The following is an 18,243-nucleotide window of genomic DNA, read 5'->3' on the forward strand; positions in this document are numbered from 1 at the left end:
AGTGGCGCATCTCGGCTCACTGCAAGCTCCGCCTCCCGGGTTCACGCCATTCTGCCTCAGCCTCCCTAGTAGCTGGGACTACAGGCACCCACCACCATGCCCGACTAATTTTTTGTATTTCTTTAGTAGAGACGGGGTTTCACTTTGTTAGCCAGGATGGTCTCGATCTCCTGATCTCATGATCCGCCCACCTTGGCCTCTCAAAGTGCTTGGATTACAGGTGTGAGCCACCGTGCCCGGCCTGCACTGAATTTTTATGTAGTTTTCAGTGAGTCCAGGATGTTCCACAAAAGCCTTTTCCTTTGATCACTTCAGTGTTGCCTTATCTCTTCTGAAATTCTTTATGCCTTCCAGTGTTCTTTTATGTCAAGTTCAATGGTTTTGCACTTTACTTATCTCTTCCTAACTAAAAATCCCCTTGCTCTCTTCTTTCTTCATTCATCACATTTTAAAATCATGATTAGCAATGTCCTTCCTTAGTTTCCCAAATCTGCCTTCCTAACTTGATTTAGGCATTGCCTCAAAGCACACTTCCTCGTGTCATATGGTATGATTTGTATCTGTACTATACTATAATAGAGCTTTAGTTTTTTCTCAAGCACTTGTTGATAAGTCACTTGCTGCAAAAATGCCATGAATTCCAGGAAAGTCACAAACCTCAGTTTCCTAGTCCCCAAATCCCTGCCTCCCTGATAAGGAAGAGATGAGAAATGGGCTGAAGTGCTTGCAGACTTGTATTGAACACTGAGTTGGTATAAAACACTGGGACTGTCCATGAAAATATAGTGTATAGTCCTTTCAGATGAACAGACAAACAGATGTGTGCTAGCTGTTATATAAGTTAGGAAGAAAGTCAAGGAAGGGTCAAGTAGAGAGATAAATATTATGCTTATTCAACAAAGCAACTGACACTTAACTGAAGAGGACAGAGACCGTGGGTGACATCTGCGTGGGGGCCCTGCTTGAAGGATGGGGAGGATTTGCACCTACAGACATCGAGGGCAGCGTGGCATGGAAGTTTGAAAGTTTGCAGCGACCTTAAGGAACAGCAGGGAAAGGAGGAGATGCATATGAGTAGAGGGATAGAATGGGGTATCTGCTGAGTGTCATTTGCTTCATGCAAGGAGTGCTGGTTTGGGTTGGGAGAGGACCTGATCCAGCAGGTGTTTTGTTTTAGCAAGACAACGCTGGATAATGTCTTCTAGTTGAAATATAAGAGGAGTGAGGCAGAGAGAGAGACTCATGATCGTCTGGTGGCAGAGATAAGGATCTGAGGGAGGGAGGCATGGGGGTTGACAGACACAAGTAGACAGATACAGGTGATATGGTGGCGTGAAGTGTCCTGTCCACAAGTCCCGGGTGGTGGTGTTTGTTGCTTCTCCCTTTTGGTGCTACCTTCACTATCCTGTCCTCTCTTCCTTGATCACATTTAGCTGAAGCCCTAAGAGGATGGTTTGGGCTTGTTCTGTATATGGCCATGCTGGTCAGACACACTTTTTTATTGTTGTGGATGTCATGTACTCTTCTTTTGGTAGAAAAAAGAGACTGTCTCTGAGGCACCACCTTTGCTGTTCAGCGATGAAGAAGAGAAGGAGGCACAACTTGGAGTGAAGTCTGTGGATAAGAAGGTTGAGAGTGCCAAGGAGTCATTAAAATTTGGGAGAACTGATGTGGCTGAGTCAGAAAAGGTGGACTTTTTTTCTTGTATACTTGAATGCATTTGTCTCTCGTATGTTGTTTCAAACACACCCAACCCCTTAAGTTTTTTGACCACAGAAAATAAATGGCCCATTTGTAGACAGATTTGAAAACATAGACAAGCAGGCTGTGTCCCCACAGTGCAGGAAGCCTCTGCAGGGCCTTTCCTCCCGGCCCTTCTCCAAGACATGTGCGCACTGTGGTGTGCCTGCTCCTGTCTCTGTGGTTACTGTCACGTCATGGCATCTTTGCTTTCTAACTTGTTCTCTTCTGTGCAGTGTTCCTGTTACCCTTGGTCCTCCTTTGGTCCCCAAGTGCACTTGAATTTAAATGTCAGTTTTAAGGAGATTTTAGTTTAGCATCCTTTTACTTTTAGATGATATTGGCAAGGATTACAGAGTAGAGTGAAATTTCTACTCTTTCTAAAACACTAGCTTTCAAGTCCTGGACGGTCTGCCGTCTCTTGCAGGAGGCCTGTGGGTAGTTCTGCTGGCCACACCTGGGCATCCAGCTTTGTGGTTGCCTTCAGTCTCTATATGCCTCTTTTCTTTCTCTAACTTTTCTTATACGCTGTGTGTCCAGCTGCTTAGGTCTAAGATCTCCCAGGGCCTGTGTGAAGAGCGTTGCATTTGCATTTGCTGCTGAGGCTCCTTGGAGCTACAGTGATACAAGCATTTCATTTGTACCTGTGTTCCTGTGTGAAATTCTCTTCCTAGTGGCTGTGTGTGGACCCCAGTCCTATCCCAGTCCTGGTCCACACTTGACTCTGACTGGTTGCTGTACTGCCCTCTCCCTGAGTGTAAGCCCCTTGCGGACTAGGCCCAGTTTGTTTTGCTCACCATCATATCTGTAGTACTGGCATATTACCTTGCACACAGTAGGCACTATGTTATAAACTTTGTATTTCTTTAAAGAAGCATTTTTTTAATAGTTTGAGTACTCTGAAATCGGGATGTACCTCATAATCAATGGTATCTTACCTGAAATGTGCCATTTGTTGAATGAATAAATACTGCATTTTAGAATTATTTCAGAGATTCTTCTTCAATTGCCTATACAGTGTAAGCCTTTTACAATTTGAGGGTCTGATTTTCCTGATTAGATTTCCCCCTTGGGGCTTATGTATTAGTTAAATGCTACGAATTCATGGTCCACTCCCAATGATTGGCACTTGTATTGGTTATCTTTGACACTTAGAAGTTCTTCCTAGTTCATGAGCAACCAGTGTGCATCAGGATTATAGCCGTCCTATCACTTGATAGGAGAGAGGGACCCATGGTCTTAATGCTTGGAAAAGTTATCTTTGGCTACGGATGATTGTACAAGACTGTCTCTTGGAGCAGCCAATCAAGAATTGACCTCAGTGTTTTGTTACTTGGGCACAGATGTGATTCACTGTGCCCTGAGTCATGCAAATGTGGCAGTTACTGAATTAACGAGAAGCTTGGCAGGCTCCATGATAGGATTTGTATTTCCAGGTGTTACTTATTTTTTCCCCCTATTATTTTCATTTTCAGGAAGGACTTTTGACTAGATCTGCTCAGGAAACAGTCAAGCATTCTGATTTATTTTCTTCATCATCCCCATGGGACAAAGGAACCAAGCCTAGAACCAAAACTGTTCTTAGCTTGTTTGATGAGGAAGAGGATAAAATGGAAGATCAAAACATTATCCAGGCTCCACAGAAAGAAGTAGGAAAGGTAAGCAAAAAGCAGTAGTGGTTCAAGTCTCTGGATGAGATAAAAGACTCTCATCTCATGGTTGTCATTCTGTCATGTGAGTTTCTGAAGGAATCTTAACCTTCAATGTAGTGTGTTAATGATTCTGTGCAGTCATTTAGATATTTGGGAATCTTAATCAGGAACTCTTACCTCAAGTAGCAGTGTTAGGATAGGGGATTAGAATTTCACCCCCCTCTTCTGGGATTTACAGACCTTGTTGTTCCTTCTAGCAAAACTTTGCCCCTTGGCCAGTTGTGGGATGTAAACAGCAGGAAAGGGAAGTTAGGCTGGAGCTGTACAGTTAAGTATTTCTAACATTCAGTTTAAGAAAAAGTGTTGTAGATGAACCTTTCATACTGATCAGGTGTCAGCAAACTATTTCTATAAAGGACCATATAATGACTATTTTAGCTTTTGCAGCCTATTTGGGCTCTGTCATAACTGCCTAGCTCTGCCATTGGCAGCATGAAAACAGCCCTAGGAAACATGAAGATGGATGGGCATGACTGTGTTCCAGTAAGTTTTATTAATAAAAATAGGTGATGGTCAGCTGGGCATGGTGGCTCACACCTGTAATCCCAGCACTTTAGGAGGCCAAGGTGGGTGGATCACAAGGTCAAGAGATCGAGACCATCCTGGCCAACATAATGAAACCCTGTTTCTACTAAAAATACAAGAAATAGCTTGGCGTGATGACGCTTGCCTGTAATCCCAGCTACTTGGGAGGCTGAGGCAGGAGAATTGCTTGAACCAGGAAGTCAGAGGTTGTAGTGAGCCGAGATCGCACCACTGCACTCCAGTGTGGCAACAGAACGAGACTCCATCTCAAAAAAAAAAAAAAAAAAATAGATGATGGTCATTCTGTGAGGTTAGTATGACCCTGATATTAAAACTAGACAGCGACATCACCAGAAAGCTAGATATCCTTTATGAATGTAGAGGCCAAAATCCTCAACAAAAATACTACTAAACCCAATTCAGCAAAATATAAAAAGGATTGCACATTATGAGAAGTGAGATTTACCCCTGGAATGCAAGGTTGGTTCAACATCTAAAATTAGTTGATATAATGCACTGTATCAATAAAATACAGAATTAAAAGGCGCATGATCATCTCAACAGATGCAGAAAAAGCTTTTAATAAAATCCAAACCTTTTCATGGTAAAGCACTCAATTAGGCATAGGAGGAAGCTTAATGAACTTGATAAAGGACATCTATGAAATCCCTCAGCTGACATCATACTTAATGGTGAAAGACTGCATGCTTTTCAACCCTAACATCATGAACAACACAACAATGTCCACTCTTGGTAATTCTAATCAACCTTGTACTGGGGATTCTAAGCAAGCCATGTAGGTGAGAAAATGAAATAAAAGGCATTCAGATTGGAAAGGAAAAAGTGAAATGAAGCAATCTGTATTTGCAGATGGCATGATCTTTTATATAGAAAGTCTTAAGGAATCTGCAAAAAACATCCATTGGAAATAAAGTCATTAAGATTGAAGGATGTAAGATCAATATGTGAAAACCAATTGTAGTTCTGTAAGCTAGTAATGAACATTTACTAACTTACAAAAGTTACTACTAGTAACTTTCTTTTTTTTTTTTTTTTGCAATGGAGTTTCACTCTTGTCCCCCAGGCTGGATTGAAATGGCACAATCTTGGCTCACTGCAACCTTTGCCTCCCGGGTTCAAGCGATTCTCCTGCCTCAGCCTCCTGAGTAGCTGGGATTATAGGCACCCACCACCATGCCCAGCTATTTTTTGTATTTTTAGTAGAGACAGGGTTTCACCGTGTTGGCCACGCTGACCTTGAACTCTTGACCTCAGGTGATCCACCTGCCTTAGCCTCCCGAAGTGCTGGGATTACAGGCATGAGCCACTGCACCCAACCTACTAGTAGTAACTTTCATAAGCAATTACCAGCTTATGAATGAAATTAAGAAATCAGTTTCTTTTATAGTAATACCAAGAAGGGTAAAATACTTAGGAGTAAATTTAGCAAAAGAAGTACAAGACTTGTAAACTAAAATCTACAAAACATTGAAAGAAATTAAAGACCTAAAATTGATGGAAAGACATCTTGTGTTTATGGACCAGAAACCTTAATATTGGTAAGGTGGCAATACTTCCTTCCCAAATTGATTTATTGTAATCTCTATCAAAATTCCAGCTTGCTTTTTGCAGAAATGGACAAGCTGATCCTAAAATTTTTATGGAACTGTAAGAGACCAAGAATAGCCAACAGTCTTGAAAAGGAAGAACAAAGTTAGAAGACTCACACTTCCTGATTTCAAAACTTACTTTAAGACAGGATGGTATTGGCATAAGGTTAAAATATATAGATCAGTGAAGTAGAATTGAGAGTCTAGAAATAAACCCTCACATTTACAGTCAGTTGCTTAAGGTGCTAAGATATTTCAGTGGGGACAGAATAGTCTTCAGCAGATGTGCCAGGATGCTGATTATCTACATGCAAAGGGATGAAGTTGGACCCATTAATAAATAAACTCAGATCCAATGTAAGATCCAAATGTAAGAACTAAAACTGTACAACTCCTAGAATCTAGAGAGTATGTGAGTAAATTATCATGACCTTGGATTAGGCAAAGCCTTCTTAGATAAGACACCAAAAGCACAAGTGACAAAAATAGCTAAATTGGACTTTATTTAAATGAAAAACATTGTGCTTCAAAGGGCACCATCTGGAAAGTCAAACGACCACCCACAAAATGGGAGAAAAGATTTACAGATCATGTATTTGATAAAGGACTCAGATCCAGAATATGTAAAAGACTTATAAGTCAATAATAAAAAGACAAATAGCCCAGTTGAAAGAAGGGATAGGCCAGGCGTCGTGGCTCATGCCTGTAATCCCAGCACTTTGGGAGACCAGGACGGGAGGATTGCTTTAGGCTGGGAGTTCAAGACCAGCCTGGGCAACATAGCAAGATCCTGTCTCTACAAAAAATTTTAAAAATTAGCCAGGCCTGGTTGCGTGCTCCTATAGTTCTATCTCCTTGGGAAGTTGAGGCAGAAGAGTCCTTTGAGCCCAGGAGTTCAAGGCTGTAGTGGGCTGTGATCACACCATTGCACTCAGGCTGAGTGACAGAACGAGACCCTGTCTGAAAAAAAATAGGTAAGACAGACATCTGAATAGAGATTTTACTGAAGAAGATAGACAAATGGCCAAAAAGGATATAGAAAGATGCTCAGCATCAGGGAAGCCAAAACCACAGTGACATACCACTTCATACCCGGGAAGAGGACCATAATAAAAAAAAAAAAAAAAAGGGAAGTAACGAGTGTTGGTAAGGATGTGGATAAATGGAAATTCTCATTCCTTGCTGCTGCAAGTGTGGAACAGTACAACCACTTTGGAGAACAGTTTGCTGTTCTTCAAATTCTTATAACATAAAGCTACCACACAATCCGGAATTTTATTCCTGGGTACATATCCAAGAGAAATAAAAACATGTTCACACAAAACTTGAATATGATTGCTCCCAGCAGCATTATTCATAATAGCCAAAAGATGGAAACAATGGCTAAACATAATATAGTATATCCATACAATGGAATATTATTTGGTAATAAAAAAGGCAAAGTACTGATACATGCTGCCACATGGATGAACCTTGAAAACATTCTAAATAAAATAAGCCAGTCATGAAAGACCACATATTATGTGATTCCATTTATATGAAATGTCCAGAATAGGCATATCAATGGAGACAGAAAGTAGATTAGTAGTTACTGGGGGCTGGGAGTAGCAGTGAGCAGGAATGGATAATTACTGCTAATGGTTTGGGGTTTCTTTTGGGGGTGATGAGAATATTCTAAACTTAGATTGTGGTAGTGGATACACAGATCTGAATATACCAAAAAATCATTACATTTTATACGTAAATGGGTAGATTTTATGGTATATGAATTTGATCTCAATGGTGATGTTATGCAAACCAGGTTGGCAGGTCATAGATTGCCAATCCTTTTTATAGATCTAACCAAAGAAATAGTCTATGTTTATTTCTACAAAAAATGTTATATGAATTTTTTTGTTATACCAATACTATAAGCTTATTTATAAATGAGAGCTGCACACAGTGAATATGATTAATTTGATATATTTTCTCCCAGTCTCTTACTGTGTATGGTTTTGTAATATTTTTCCACAGTTGTGAAATATTTAACATTACTTGCTGTGTTAAACTCATTTTTATATGTAACAATAATAATTATTGTTAATGTGATTTATTTTGTTAGAAGTAAGTTTTTCATTAGTTTTTTTGGTTTTTTTGTTTTGTTTTGTTTTGTTTTGAGATGGAGTCCTACTGTGTTGCCCAGGCTGGAGTGCAGTGGCATGATCTCGGCCCACTGCAGCCTCTGCCTCCCAGGTTCAAGGATTCTCCCACCTCAGCCTCCCAAGTAGCTGGAACCACAGGCACACGCCACCACACCCGGCTGATCTTTGTATTTTTAGTAGAGGTGGGGTTTCACCACATTGGCCAGGCTGGTCTCGAACTCCTGGCCTCTGGTAATCCACCCGCCTTGGCCTCCCAAAGTGCTGGGATTACAGGCATGAGCCACCATGCCTGGCCTTTTTGTTAAGTTTTAATCTGTGGCTGTGATAAGGAAATAGGGATGAATTTTAGAATGTCAGGTCTGGAGCATTATATTATCAAACCAATAATGTTGATGGTAACTTTTAAATGTTAGATATCTAGTAAACAAAAAAGGGACTCACTCGGGGTCTGAAAGTAGGGCAGAAGTGATGGACAGCCATAGGAAGGCTTGTGGTCGCACCTGTGCCAGGTCTTTGGCCTGCAGTGCTTACAGGTGAGGGACACATACTTGACCACTCTGTGTAGTTTGTGCTTGAGTCAGCTGCTGTCTCTTCTTCCCTTTGGAAATGAGATGAAGAGAATTCATTCAGTTGTATGTTTTTTACCTTCAAAATGTTTCTCATTATGGAACTAATGGATTGCTTTTCTAATAAAAAATTTAGATACTATACGAAGTTTATATAATATATATAACCTGGAAAGATTATCTCTAAAGCTTGTGCATATATATATATATGTGTGTGTGTGTATATATATATATATATATATATATATATATATATATACACATATATATATATATATATACACACACATATATATATATATGTAAACTTTGTATTTATAAATATATTTTCTGGTATTTTTGGAAGCGCCATAGCATTCCATTTTGTCAATGTTTCATTCCCCTACTGAGTGGCTTTTAGGCTGTGGCCAGCCTTTTGCTAATATAATACAGCTGCAGGGGACATCTTTGTTGTGTCCATCTTTACATATGTAACTTCCTTGAGATAAGTTCTTACAGCTCTAATCACACATGACCTTCCCTCCTGTTCCCAGGGCTGCGATCCTGATGCCCACCCCAAGAGCACAGGTGTCTTCCAGGATGAAGAGCTGCTTTTCAGCCACAAGCTCCAAAAGGACAATGACCCAGATGTTGACCTTTTTGCTGGCACCAAAAAAACCAAGGTCAGTTCCAAATGGTTCCCCACAGTATGACTTGTTATTGTATTGGGTGCTGTCTCAACAGCTCACCTAGTTCTCTTTGTAAATTGTTTTGCTTTTGGATATTGAACTTGGGTCTTGTTTATTCTAGCTGTTAGAGCCAAGTGTTGGGAGCCTGTTTGGGGATGATGAAGATGATGATCTTTTCAGCTCTGCCAAGTCCCAGCCTTTGGTACCAGCCTTTTGTTCTCAATACTGGGTTGTGTGGGAAAGATTCTGGGAAAGGAAACTAACGTCCAGTTAGATGATTAAGGAAAATCCTAGGAGAGTCGTGCTGCTTCCTGCTAAATGAATGGCAAATAACATGCCGAGGGGAGCGTGTGTGGAGGATGCAATGCTTAGTTTCTGTTGTTCCTCATCTTATGTTCCCTATACTAACATTAAAACATTAATAATCCAGGCTCTCTGACTGTACTACACATCTGTGTGATGTTTAAATGGTTGATTGAAAGACCATTGCATACACTGGGGTGGCTAAATATTCGTGCCTTTCAGGTGCAAAGCTTTGAATCTGAGTTTTAGCCTTTCTATGTCATTTTCTCCCCCAGCCCCAGTAGGTTTTTGTAAGTACTCTGTTTTCTTTTTATCATAGAGAGGACTCCTGTGACAGCCACAGTCTTCAGAATGCTATTTCTGAAATGCTACCTTTGAGTTGGTTCAGCCCTCATTTGAGAAAGTATTTTTAAGACTCAGAAGCCAGGATTGTTTTTTGCATTATGATTTTTCCTTAAAACTTCTAAGATATTTGATGCCTTTTTGGTATTTTTTTTCTTTTGAAGGTACAAGAGAAAAAGAGAGTAGTGAAAAAAGACCACTCTGTTAACTCTTTCAAAAACCAGAAACATCCTGAATCCATTCAAGGTAGTAAAGAAAAAGGCATATGGAAGCCGGAAACACCTCAGGTTAGAAATCCTCTTTAAGGATTTTCAGCTCTTGTTTGCATCCCAGTACAGAGAAATTCCATTATGCAGACCCACAGTTATTTAGACTTGTCTGCATTAAGGAGGAAACAGCAACCAGGGCTACAGCTTTGTCTTCACTGCACTTCCCCCGAGTCATCTCCCCTCTCCTCACTCCACACGCCAGAGTTTCATGAATCTATACTTTAATAGTTAGTGTTTTTTGATGCCATGCCAGATTTGACTCTGAAGTGGAGTTAAGGTAGGATGAAGAATCTTCTTCCCACTAAAGAATTTATTTCTCCCTCTGGATTTCCTTGGAATAGAATTAAAATAGAAATAAATATAAATTACATCTGATTTCCTGCCTGCTCTCAGTGTTGCCTCTCCCGAGGTCATTGCTGTTGGGCCGTACTCTGCAGCAGTCTTCTCAGAACGCTGTGGAGCTCCTCCTGGGAACAGCCCAGGACTGGAGAGCGAGTGACAGTTCCACGTGCAGGTGTCCCAGGGTGTCTCACTGAAGCCTTAGTGTCCTGAGCCGTAAACCTGAGGCACTTGGACGAACACATCACCACTGACCCTTCCTGGGGCTCAGATCTTTTGCTTTTAGAGCCAGTGCATTAGGCTATGGTTGAATTTTTGTGTGCTCCTTGAAATTTCTATTTGATAACCAACATGGTAATTTTGCCTGCTGGTCAGTTTTAGGTGCTCTGATAAACTGTGACTCTTGGGAATCTTACTCATCTTGTATTCCTTGACTCCATATCTGATCTGGCAGCTTTCCACTTATGTGACAGAGGAGGAGGCATACGTGAAGTAGTGCTAGTGAAACATCAGGCCCCAGGAGAGATTTGAATGCCTTTCCCATTAAAGAGCTACAGAAAGTGACAGTTTTGCTCCATCACAGATTTATTTACAGGCATAAGAAACACTTGTCTTTCTGTTTCCCAAATGGATTTTTAACTGGATGTAATCTTACACAGGACTCATCAGGTCTCGCTCCATTTAAAACCAAAGAACCATCCACTCGGATCGGGAAGATACAAGTAATTAAAACACTGGAATCTTCATTGCCTGCCCTGTGGCATCTATAAACTTTTTTGGGTTTCCTACTCTTGTCAGCTGCTGCCAAACATCTTCTCATCTCTTCCCCCGCCTCCCCTCCCCTGCACCTAGTTGTTGTCTCCTGTGTGCTGCGTCTTTAACATCTATTCTTTGAGCCCAGTGGTGGGCATAGGTGTAAGACGCTCTGTTTTAATTCTGAGACTAGATTGGGCGATTTTCCTACGTTTCTCTACTCCTCTCGTATTATACATTATGTGTACCGAATCTTGTCATGTGTCACAATAAAGATAATAGACTGCTGTGTTGAAGAACAAATACAGAGTTTCATTTTTCTTCTTTAGGCAAATTTAGCGATCAACCCAGCGGCCTTGCTGCCCACAGCGGCTTCCCAGATCTCTGAAGTAAAGCCTGTTTTGCCAGAATTGGCTTTTCCTTCATCTGAACACAGAAGGAGCCACGGTCTGGAAAGTGTGCCTGTCCTTCCCGGGAGTGGGGAGGCCGGTGTGAGTTTTGATCTTCCAGCTCAGGCAGACACCTTACACAGTGCAAACAAGGTGATGAAACCATCTTTGCTTCCTTGCTCTCTTCTTTTAACCAGAACATGCATATGCTTCTTTCTAGTTTATCAGTTGCATACACAGCAGTCTTTGACTCTCCTTTTGAAGGAGGTGCCTCATCCTTCCTTCAGCCGCTCCCCCCTCCATTCTCCCCACCCCCCTCATCCTGCACCTGCTTTTCCATGGCCTGCATTTGGTACATTTGCATTCTGCTCAGTAGCCACAGTAACGTCTCACCACTTTGGCTGGTGTCTGACACCTGCAGGTTTCCAGCACTGCCACCTGGGGGTCTTCTAACCACAGAGCAGATCATGCCCCTCCTGCTGGCGCTTCCTCACTACTCCAAGGAGAGCATTCGGGCTCCTGGGTTTGGTATGAAACCCCTTTGCAATCGGTGCCAGCCCATGTGTGCAGCTTCCTCACTAGTCACTTCACACTTTCCAGCCTGACTCCAGGCACACCAGGTGCCACTCCCTGAACACACATGGTCTGTTCTGCTGCTGCCCAAGGCTCCTGCTGCCTCCTCACCAGGAATGCCCCTCTCTGTCCACAGCTGTGCTTCCACATCCCCACTTCTGTCACTGTGCCCTGCACTCCCTGCACCAAGTTCCCACAGCAGCGACACTGTTTCATGGGATCTCCTCAATGGACTGTGAACTCTTTGAAGTTTTCCTTTCATTGTAGTTGGGTTTCTTGTTTCTATCCAGTCTCCCTTCTCTAGAAAGCTTTAACTGATCTGCAAGTAAGTGACAGGACACAGAATGACCTACCCTGACAAATAGATTCATTTCAAATGTTTGCAAACCTGTTTCCTTGTGCAAAACAAAACAGCCTTCCTTTTAACGACAATTTTCATTGGCTTTTTTTTTATTAAGTTTAAATTGGCAACTAAAATTGTGACATTCCCCTGAAGTTGACAACACAATCATACTTTGCCCAGAGTAGATTGTAGCTTCTCAAAATTCTACTTGATTGTATATTTTGGAAACTATCATAAACTGCATCATTGCTACTAAGTGATTCATGTTTTGAGATTATATGAAAAGTTCTGATTTCTAAGCCATATTTCTTATGTGGAATATTTAACATTTGAATTCAATGTTTATTGACTTGAAGAAAACAGCACCTTAGATTACCTCTCTTTATTGTGTCATGTTTCTCCCCGCTCCTGGAGCCTGAATTTAGACTAGCCCCCTAACAAAGGTTAGTACCAGAATTCCCCGATTCTTTCTTGTTTTGAAAGATACCCACGTTTCTGTTGAGGGTAGAGTAGGGGCCAAGGGAGGGGTTGTGAGACACAGAGAGCCAACATGCCTACTTTCCAGGTTTCCAGCAACAGATGAAACTTTTTGTGTGAAACTGAACTGAAACTGCCCTGAAAAGATTAAAAAATGGAGAACTCTAAAGGATTAAGAATGACTTAGTCTTGGAGTACTAGGAGCTATTAAACTCCTTCCTTGGAAATCATTAAGAAATAACCTCTTCTATGTTCTTAGATAATATCTTCATTGAAGTAGACCAGATAACCTTACAATATTTTGAGTCACTGATTCTTTGCCATGGTAGCTTTGAACACTTTATTTTATCGTCAGATCAATGTATGTTTTTTTGCCGTTGCAGAGCCGTGTCAAGATGAGAGGGAAGCGTAGACCGCAGACCCGTGCAGCTAGGCGGCTGGCTGCTCAGGAGTCCAGCGAGGCTGAGGACATGAGCGTCCCCAGAGGACCCATTGCACAGTGGGCTGATGGCGCCATTTCCCCAAATGGCCATCGGCCACAGCTCAGAGCAGCCAGTGGAGAAGACAGCACTGAGGAGGCCCTGGCAGCTGCCGCTGCACCTTGGGAAGGTGGTCCTGTGCCTGGAGTGGACACAAGCCCCTTTGCAAAGTCTCTGGGTCATTCCAGAGGGGAGGCTGACCTTTTTGATTCTGGGGACATTTTTTCCACGGGCACTGGATCTCAGTCCGTGGAGAGAACAAAACCCAAGGCAAAGATAGCAGAGAATCCTGCCAACCCACCAGTGGGTGGTAAAGCAAAGAGCCCCATGTTTCCTGCTCTAGGCGAGGCCAGCAGTGATGATGATCTCTTTCAGTCTGCTAAACCAAAACCAGCAAAGAAAACAAATCCCTTTCCTCTCCTGGAAGATGAGGATGACCTCTTTACAGATCAGAAAGTCAAGAAGAATGAGACAAAATCCAGTAGTCAGCAGGATGTCATATTAACAACACAAGATATTTTTGAGGTAATAGGACTTAACACGTTTTTGTGTCTGTTCTAAGTTAAGGAAGGTATCTGATTGGCTTATTTGAGCCATAGATTATGTCTAGCTTGTTGCGTGCATACCCCATAGCCACTTGCTTAGTAATTATAATTAGGCTCTTTTATTAATAAGTCTAACATTGATTCAGAAGTGGTTTTTTGTTTTGTTGCATGTAGAATGTATTTCTTGGCTGGCCATGATCATTGATACTGATCTTGGTTTCTCTAGTTTTTACAGTTTTTTTATTTTTATAGAATATTGTTGTAATCAGCTTCCTGGGCATGCCACTCGGTGACATGGCATACAGCTCCACTGGTCCAGCTTGGGAGTTTAACCTCTGGTTCTGGGGACATTGGCCCTGGCTGGAGCTGACAATGTAGTGCATGCAGGCAATAAGACTTTCAGTGGCATTTGCTCAGCAGATGTTTATTGAGCACCTGGGGACTGCAGGCACAAGGTGAACTCAGAGAAGTGCTAGGCTCCTCAGAGCTCTCTGGGAAGATAATCAAATACAAACAGGGCAATGGATAATTAAGATGTTTTCAAATAGTACTAAGTGTCATGAAGAAAGTAACCTGGGGCAGAGTGGTGGGTAGGGCTGGGAGGTGCTCCTTTAGGCAGGACTGGTAGAGAAGGTGTCACTGCAGTGGCGGCATTTGAGCCGGGGTGAGATGCGCGGGCCAAGCTGTGCAGAGATCTGGGGTAGTGCATCCCAGGCAGAGTGGGCAGTCTCGAGGCCGTTCCACACACCCTGGCCAATTGCATTTCCATAGCTTGTTGACGTGTTTGAGTTTAAAAAGAAAAATTGATTTAACATTGTTTTGTATGTATTTTTGGCTTAACAAGGATGATATATTTGCTACGGAAGCAATTAAACCCTCTCAGAAAACCAGAGAGAAGGAGAAAACATTGGAATCTAATTTATTTGATGATAACATTGATATCTTTGCTGACTTAACTGTAAAACCAAAAGAAAAGTCCAAAAAGAAAGTGGAAGCCAAGTCTATATTTGATGATGATATGGGTAAGTTTGGTTTTCTACATCTGACCTAGAGAATTCTTACCTTTCCATCACTTGGTATTTTTCCTGCTACCTTTTCTTGGCCCTTTTCTGGAAAATGCACCCCAGCGGGTTCACTTCAGTGTAATCCTGAGTTAGGCTGAAGATAGGTAAGAGATGGACTAATTATTTTAGTGAAGTAACTCTTTCCTATGATAGTCATCAAAGAATTTGAAGGCACCCAGAGTTTGATGTTTAAGTATAATTTAACTTTGATCTCAGTGCACCTCACCAATCATCTGTGACACACCCTGATGTTATGTAAGGAGGTTTGATCAGAAATGACCTCACGTGCTAAAGTAGGCTGAGGGGACTGCCTTGGGTGTGATGTGGTTGGTTGAGTCAGAGCTCCAGATGGACAGGGAGTGTCCATGGTTCTGTGCGAGAAGAGAGCAAGTCTAGACCTGGGTGTAGGCTCTACCTCAGGCGTTGCATTTCACTGAGGTCTTTGGTGTTTGGGAACAAGCTTGTCTTCCTTATATGGCACAACTTCTGCTTTATTAGTAGACAAGGCAAATGCCCGAGAACCCTAAATATTGGACTTTTGATAAATCCTGTGGGCTGAGCCACATACACATTTCCTACTCCCCCCGTCAATCTAGACCTTTAGACTAACTGGGAGACAGCTGGTGCTGCAGAGCCACACACTGGCTCTGTGCCTCCAGCAAGCCGTATGCTCTGTCTCCCCTGCTTCCCACCACATGGAATGCAGAAGGGAACTCATTCATTATTTTAAATACAAAAAAAGTAATACATGCTTATTGTAATAGATTCATGCAATTCAGAAAATGTAAAAAGTGAATAACCCCTAGAGGTAATAGTAACAGTTTGGTATGTATCCTTTCAGACACAGTGATATTAATATATGTTTGTGTACACATCAATATATACCCACCTTTTTAAAAAGTAAGAATATATTTCCCTATTCTGCTCTGTCTTTTAGTTACTTAATGTCTTTTCATGTCAGTACGCAGAGATCTCCTTCCTTGTTTTCAGTGCTGTGCACGATTTCTTTATATTTAGCCATTAGCCTGTTGACGGCAATCTCGATTGTTTCTGTTTTCTTTATTACAAATAATGCTGTGGTCTTTACCATTTGTGTACACCTAACTTTATGTATACATGCTAAAATCATGGTTGGATAAAACCCTAGCAGTAACATTACTGGGTAATTACCATAATTAGATAAGACAAGCTTTTGAGTCAGTGAAACACTAAACGAATGCAGTGACGGAGGCTTACAGTCTTACATCGAGATGCCTCAAATCAGTGCATTTATTCTGAAAGAAAACAGGTGGGTCCTATATTGGATTTCCCTTTGCATATTTTTATTGCTCTTTTAAAACCCAGTATGAAAAGAATATCTAAATAAGTCCATTGTCCCTGATGGTAGGGGCGTGGGCTGGTTTGGAGATCAAGTTACCCTTCCCTTTTTTCTGTCCTGCACACGCACATACATACACTTTTGTAGCTGAAGAAATTGTGCTCCAAGAGAAACCTGTGTGTGATCATAAAATTTAATGAGTAACAAACACAGAACCAGAATCTAAGAGGCTTGAGTTCTAGGTTAGTGTTTTAGGGTACTCCATGCTGTTACGAGAGCTGGGTCTTTGGTGGTTTGCTTGCATGTGTCTTAAAAGTACCTTTCTCCACCCCTCTTCAGCAACTGTTTTTCTTTTTTCTTTCTAAAGATGACATCTTCTCCACTGGTATCCAGGCTAAGACAACCAAACCAAAAAGCCGATCTGCACAGGCCGCACCTGAACCAAGATTTGAACACAAGGTGTCCAACATCTTTGATGATCCCCTGAATGCCTTTGGAGGCCAGTAGAGCACACAGGGTATCCACATGTTACCCTGCAGCTACATTGTTGAGTTAGTGATGATATTGTATATGCTCATGGTCTTAACTGGATTACAAAAAGCAAATACTAGAACAGCTAGCTCATCTTTTACCCAATGTACTTAGTATTTTTCTGCACTGGTTTAATCATGCTTAATACTACAAAACAAAAATAAATATTTCACAGTGGTTGGTTTGTTTTGTTTTTAAACCACAGTTTGATTTAGTTAGCCTTGCTGGGGCCATAATATGCTTCAGGGTGTGTAAAAGAAGAAATCTCTTTGTGGCTTTCATGGGCAGGGAATCTCAGAGATAGCAAATGCCACCTGACCAGAAGTCTTTGTTATATGGATGGGAACCCTAACTTAGGGCTTGGGCAGGGGAAAGAGAAAGAAGATGAGAGATTATACTTCATGAGTCTTAGCAATATGGGAGCAGGTTTTCACTGAATTCTGAGGGTGCCTCTGCATGTCCTCCAAGGCAAAGTTTGGCAAACTGTGGCCCCCCCACTGTCATATTTTGTTAATAAAATTTTATTGGAACACAATCACATTCATTTGTTTACTTACTGTCTATTGCTGCTCTCACCCTACCTCCAATGTAAGAGTTGAGTGATTATGACAGAGACTGGATGGCTCACAGAGCCTCAGATGTTTTCTATCTGCCCCTTTATATACAGTTTGCTGACCATTGCTCTAAGGCATCCTTTTCCATCCTTGTCTTGTGGAAGCAGCAGAATGAACCTAGGTAATAGCCGGGGGAAGTGCTGAAGATGGAAATGTCAGCCTCTAGAGCAGCACTGCCCCATAGAACTCCACAGGAATGAAAATGTTCTTTATCTGTATCGACAAAGGCAGTAGCCACTAGCCACCTGGATGGCTGACCCCATTCTAATCTGTGTTTTTTGGTGCTCTGTCGTCTTGCTGCTGACTATGCAGCCTGTCACCACAGCACAGTCTTGTAGGCCGCCCAGGTTGGTCTCAGCGATCGTGGAGCTACTTACTTCTTCCTTGGGCACTGTAAGATCGGAAGGGGAATTACTCATACCCAGAGTCAAACATTTTGTACGGCTTCCACAGGTCAACCATTTGCCCAAGTCTGCTGTGAGAGTGACGTGATAACAGATAAGGGCACTTGCTAGTTGGCCACTCCTTTCCCCTATTCATTTTATGCATCTTCCTTCTGTCCTTAGGTTGAGATCTCCGAGTCGCTGTTGTCAGGCAGACTGCTGTCCTCCAGATTCAGGCCTGTGGGTCTGGGGAGCCCTGGTTGGTCTTGGAGGAGCAAGGGCTGCGCAGGTGACTTGGTGGCCTCAAGTGTATAGGTACCTGGATGGTGCGAGGAGATGCTGGCTCTGAAATATTTCCTAATCCCGCTTGCGGATCAACTGCCGACTAGCGTTTAGGTTACAGACATATTAGATGGTTGATGTGATTCTGTAGCTCGTATTTAGAACTTTAGGGATGTTTTCACATATCAGTAAATGAAGATCTATGTCAACATTTTTTTTTTTTTTTTGAGACGGAGTCTCGCTCTGTCACCCAGGCTGGAGTGCGGTGGCGTGATCC

At 42.0% G+C, this 18,243-nt stretch overlaps 1 protein-coding gene across 53 annotated transcripts in view; it reads left to right on the forward strand.

Annotated features, from left to right (window-relative positions):
* The window catches only part of WASHC2C (WASH complex subunit 2C), a 65,922-nt gene extending 48,695 nt beyond the window's left edge, over positions 1-17,227 (forward strand). For 16 of the 53 annotated variants that reach the window (NM_001367412.1, NM_001367398.1, NM_001330074.2 and 13 more), the window contains 10 exons: positions 1,536-1,688; positions 3,216-3,398; positions 8,828-8,956; positions 9,084-9,164; positions 9,772-9,894; positions 10,875-10,937; positions 11,298-11,510; positions 13,134-13,754; positions 14,619-14,796; positions 16,524-17,227. In NM_001367412.1, the coding sequence (NP_001354341.1) occupies positions 1,536-1,688; positions 3,216-3,398; positions 8,828-8,956; positions 9,084-9,164; positions 9,772-9,894; positions 10,875-10,937; positions 11,298-11,510; positions 13,134-13,754; positions 14,619-14,796; positions 16,524-16,663 (1,884 nt within the window). In that variant the 3' untranslated portion in view covers positions 16,664-17,227. The remainder of the gene's footprint in view (positions 1-1,535; positions 1,689-3,215; positions 3,399-8,827; positions 8,957-9,083; positions 9,165-9,771; positions 9,895-10,874; positions 10,938-11,297; positions 11,511-13,133; positions 13,755-14,618; positions 14,797-16,523) is intronic. The other 37 variants (NR_159966.1, NM_001367393.1, NM_001367405.1 and 34 more) reach the window with 10 other exon arrangements.
* Positions 17,228-18,243: the final 1,016 nt, after the last annotated feature.

Source organism: Homo sapiens, chromosome 10 (genome assembly GCF_000001405.40).
Source record: "Homo sapiens chromosome 10, GRCh38.p14 Primary Assembly".
Taxonomy (NCBI): Eukaryota; Metazoa; Chordata; class Mammalia; order Primates; family Hominidae; genus Homo; species Homo sapiens.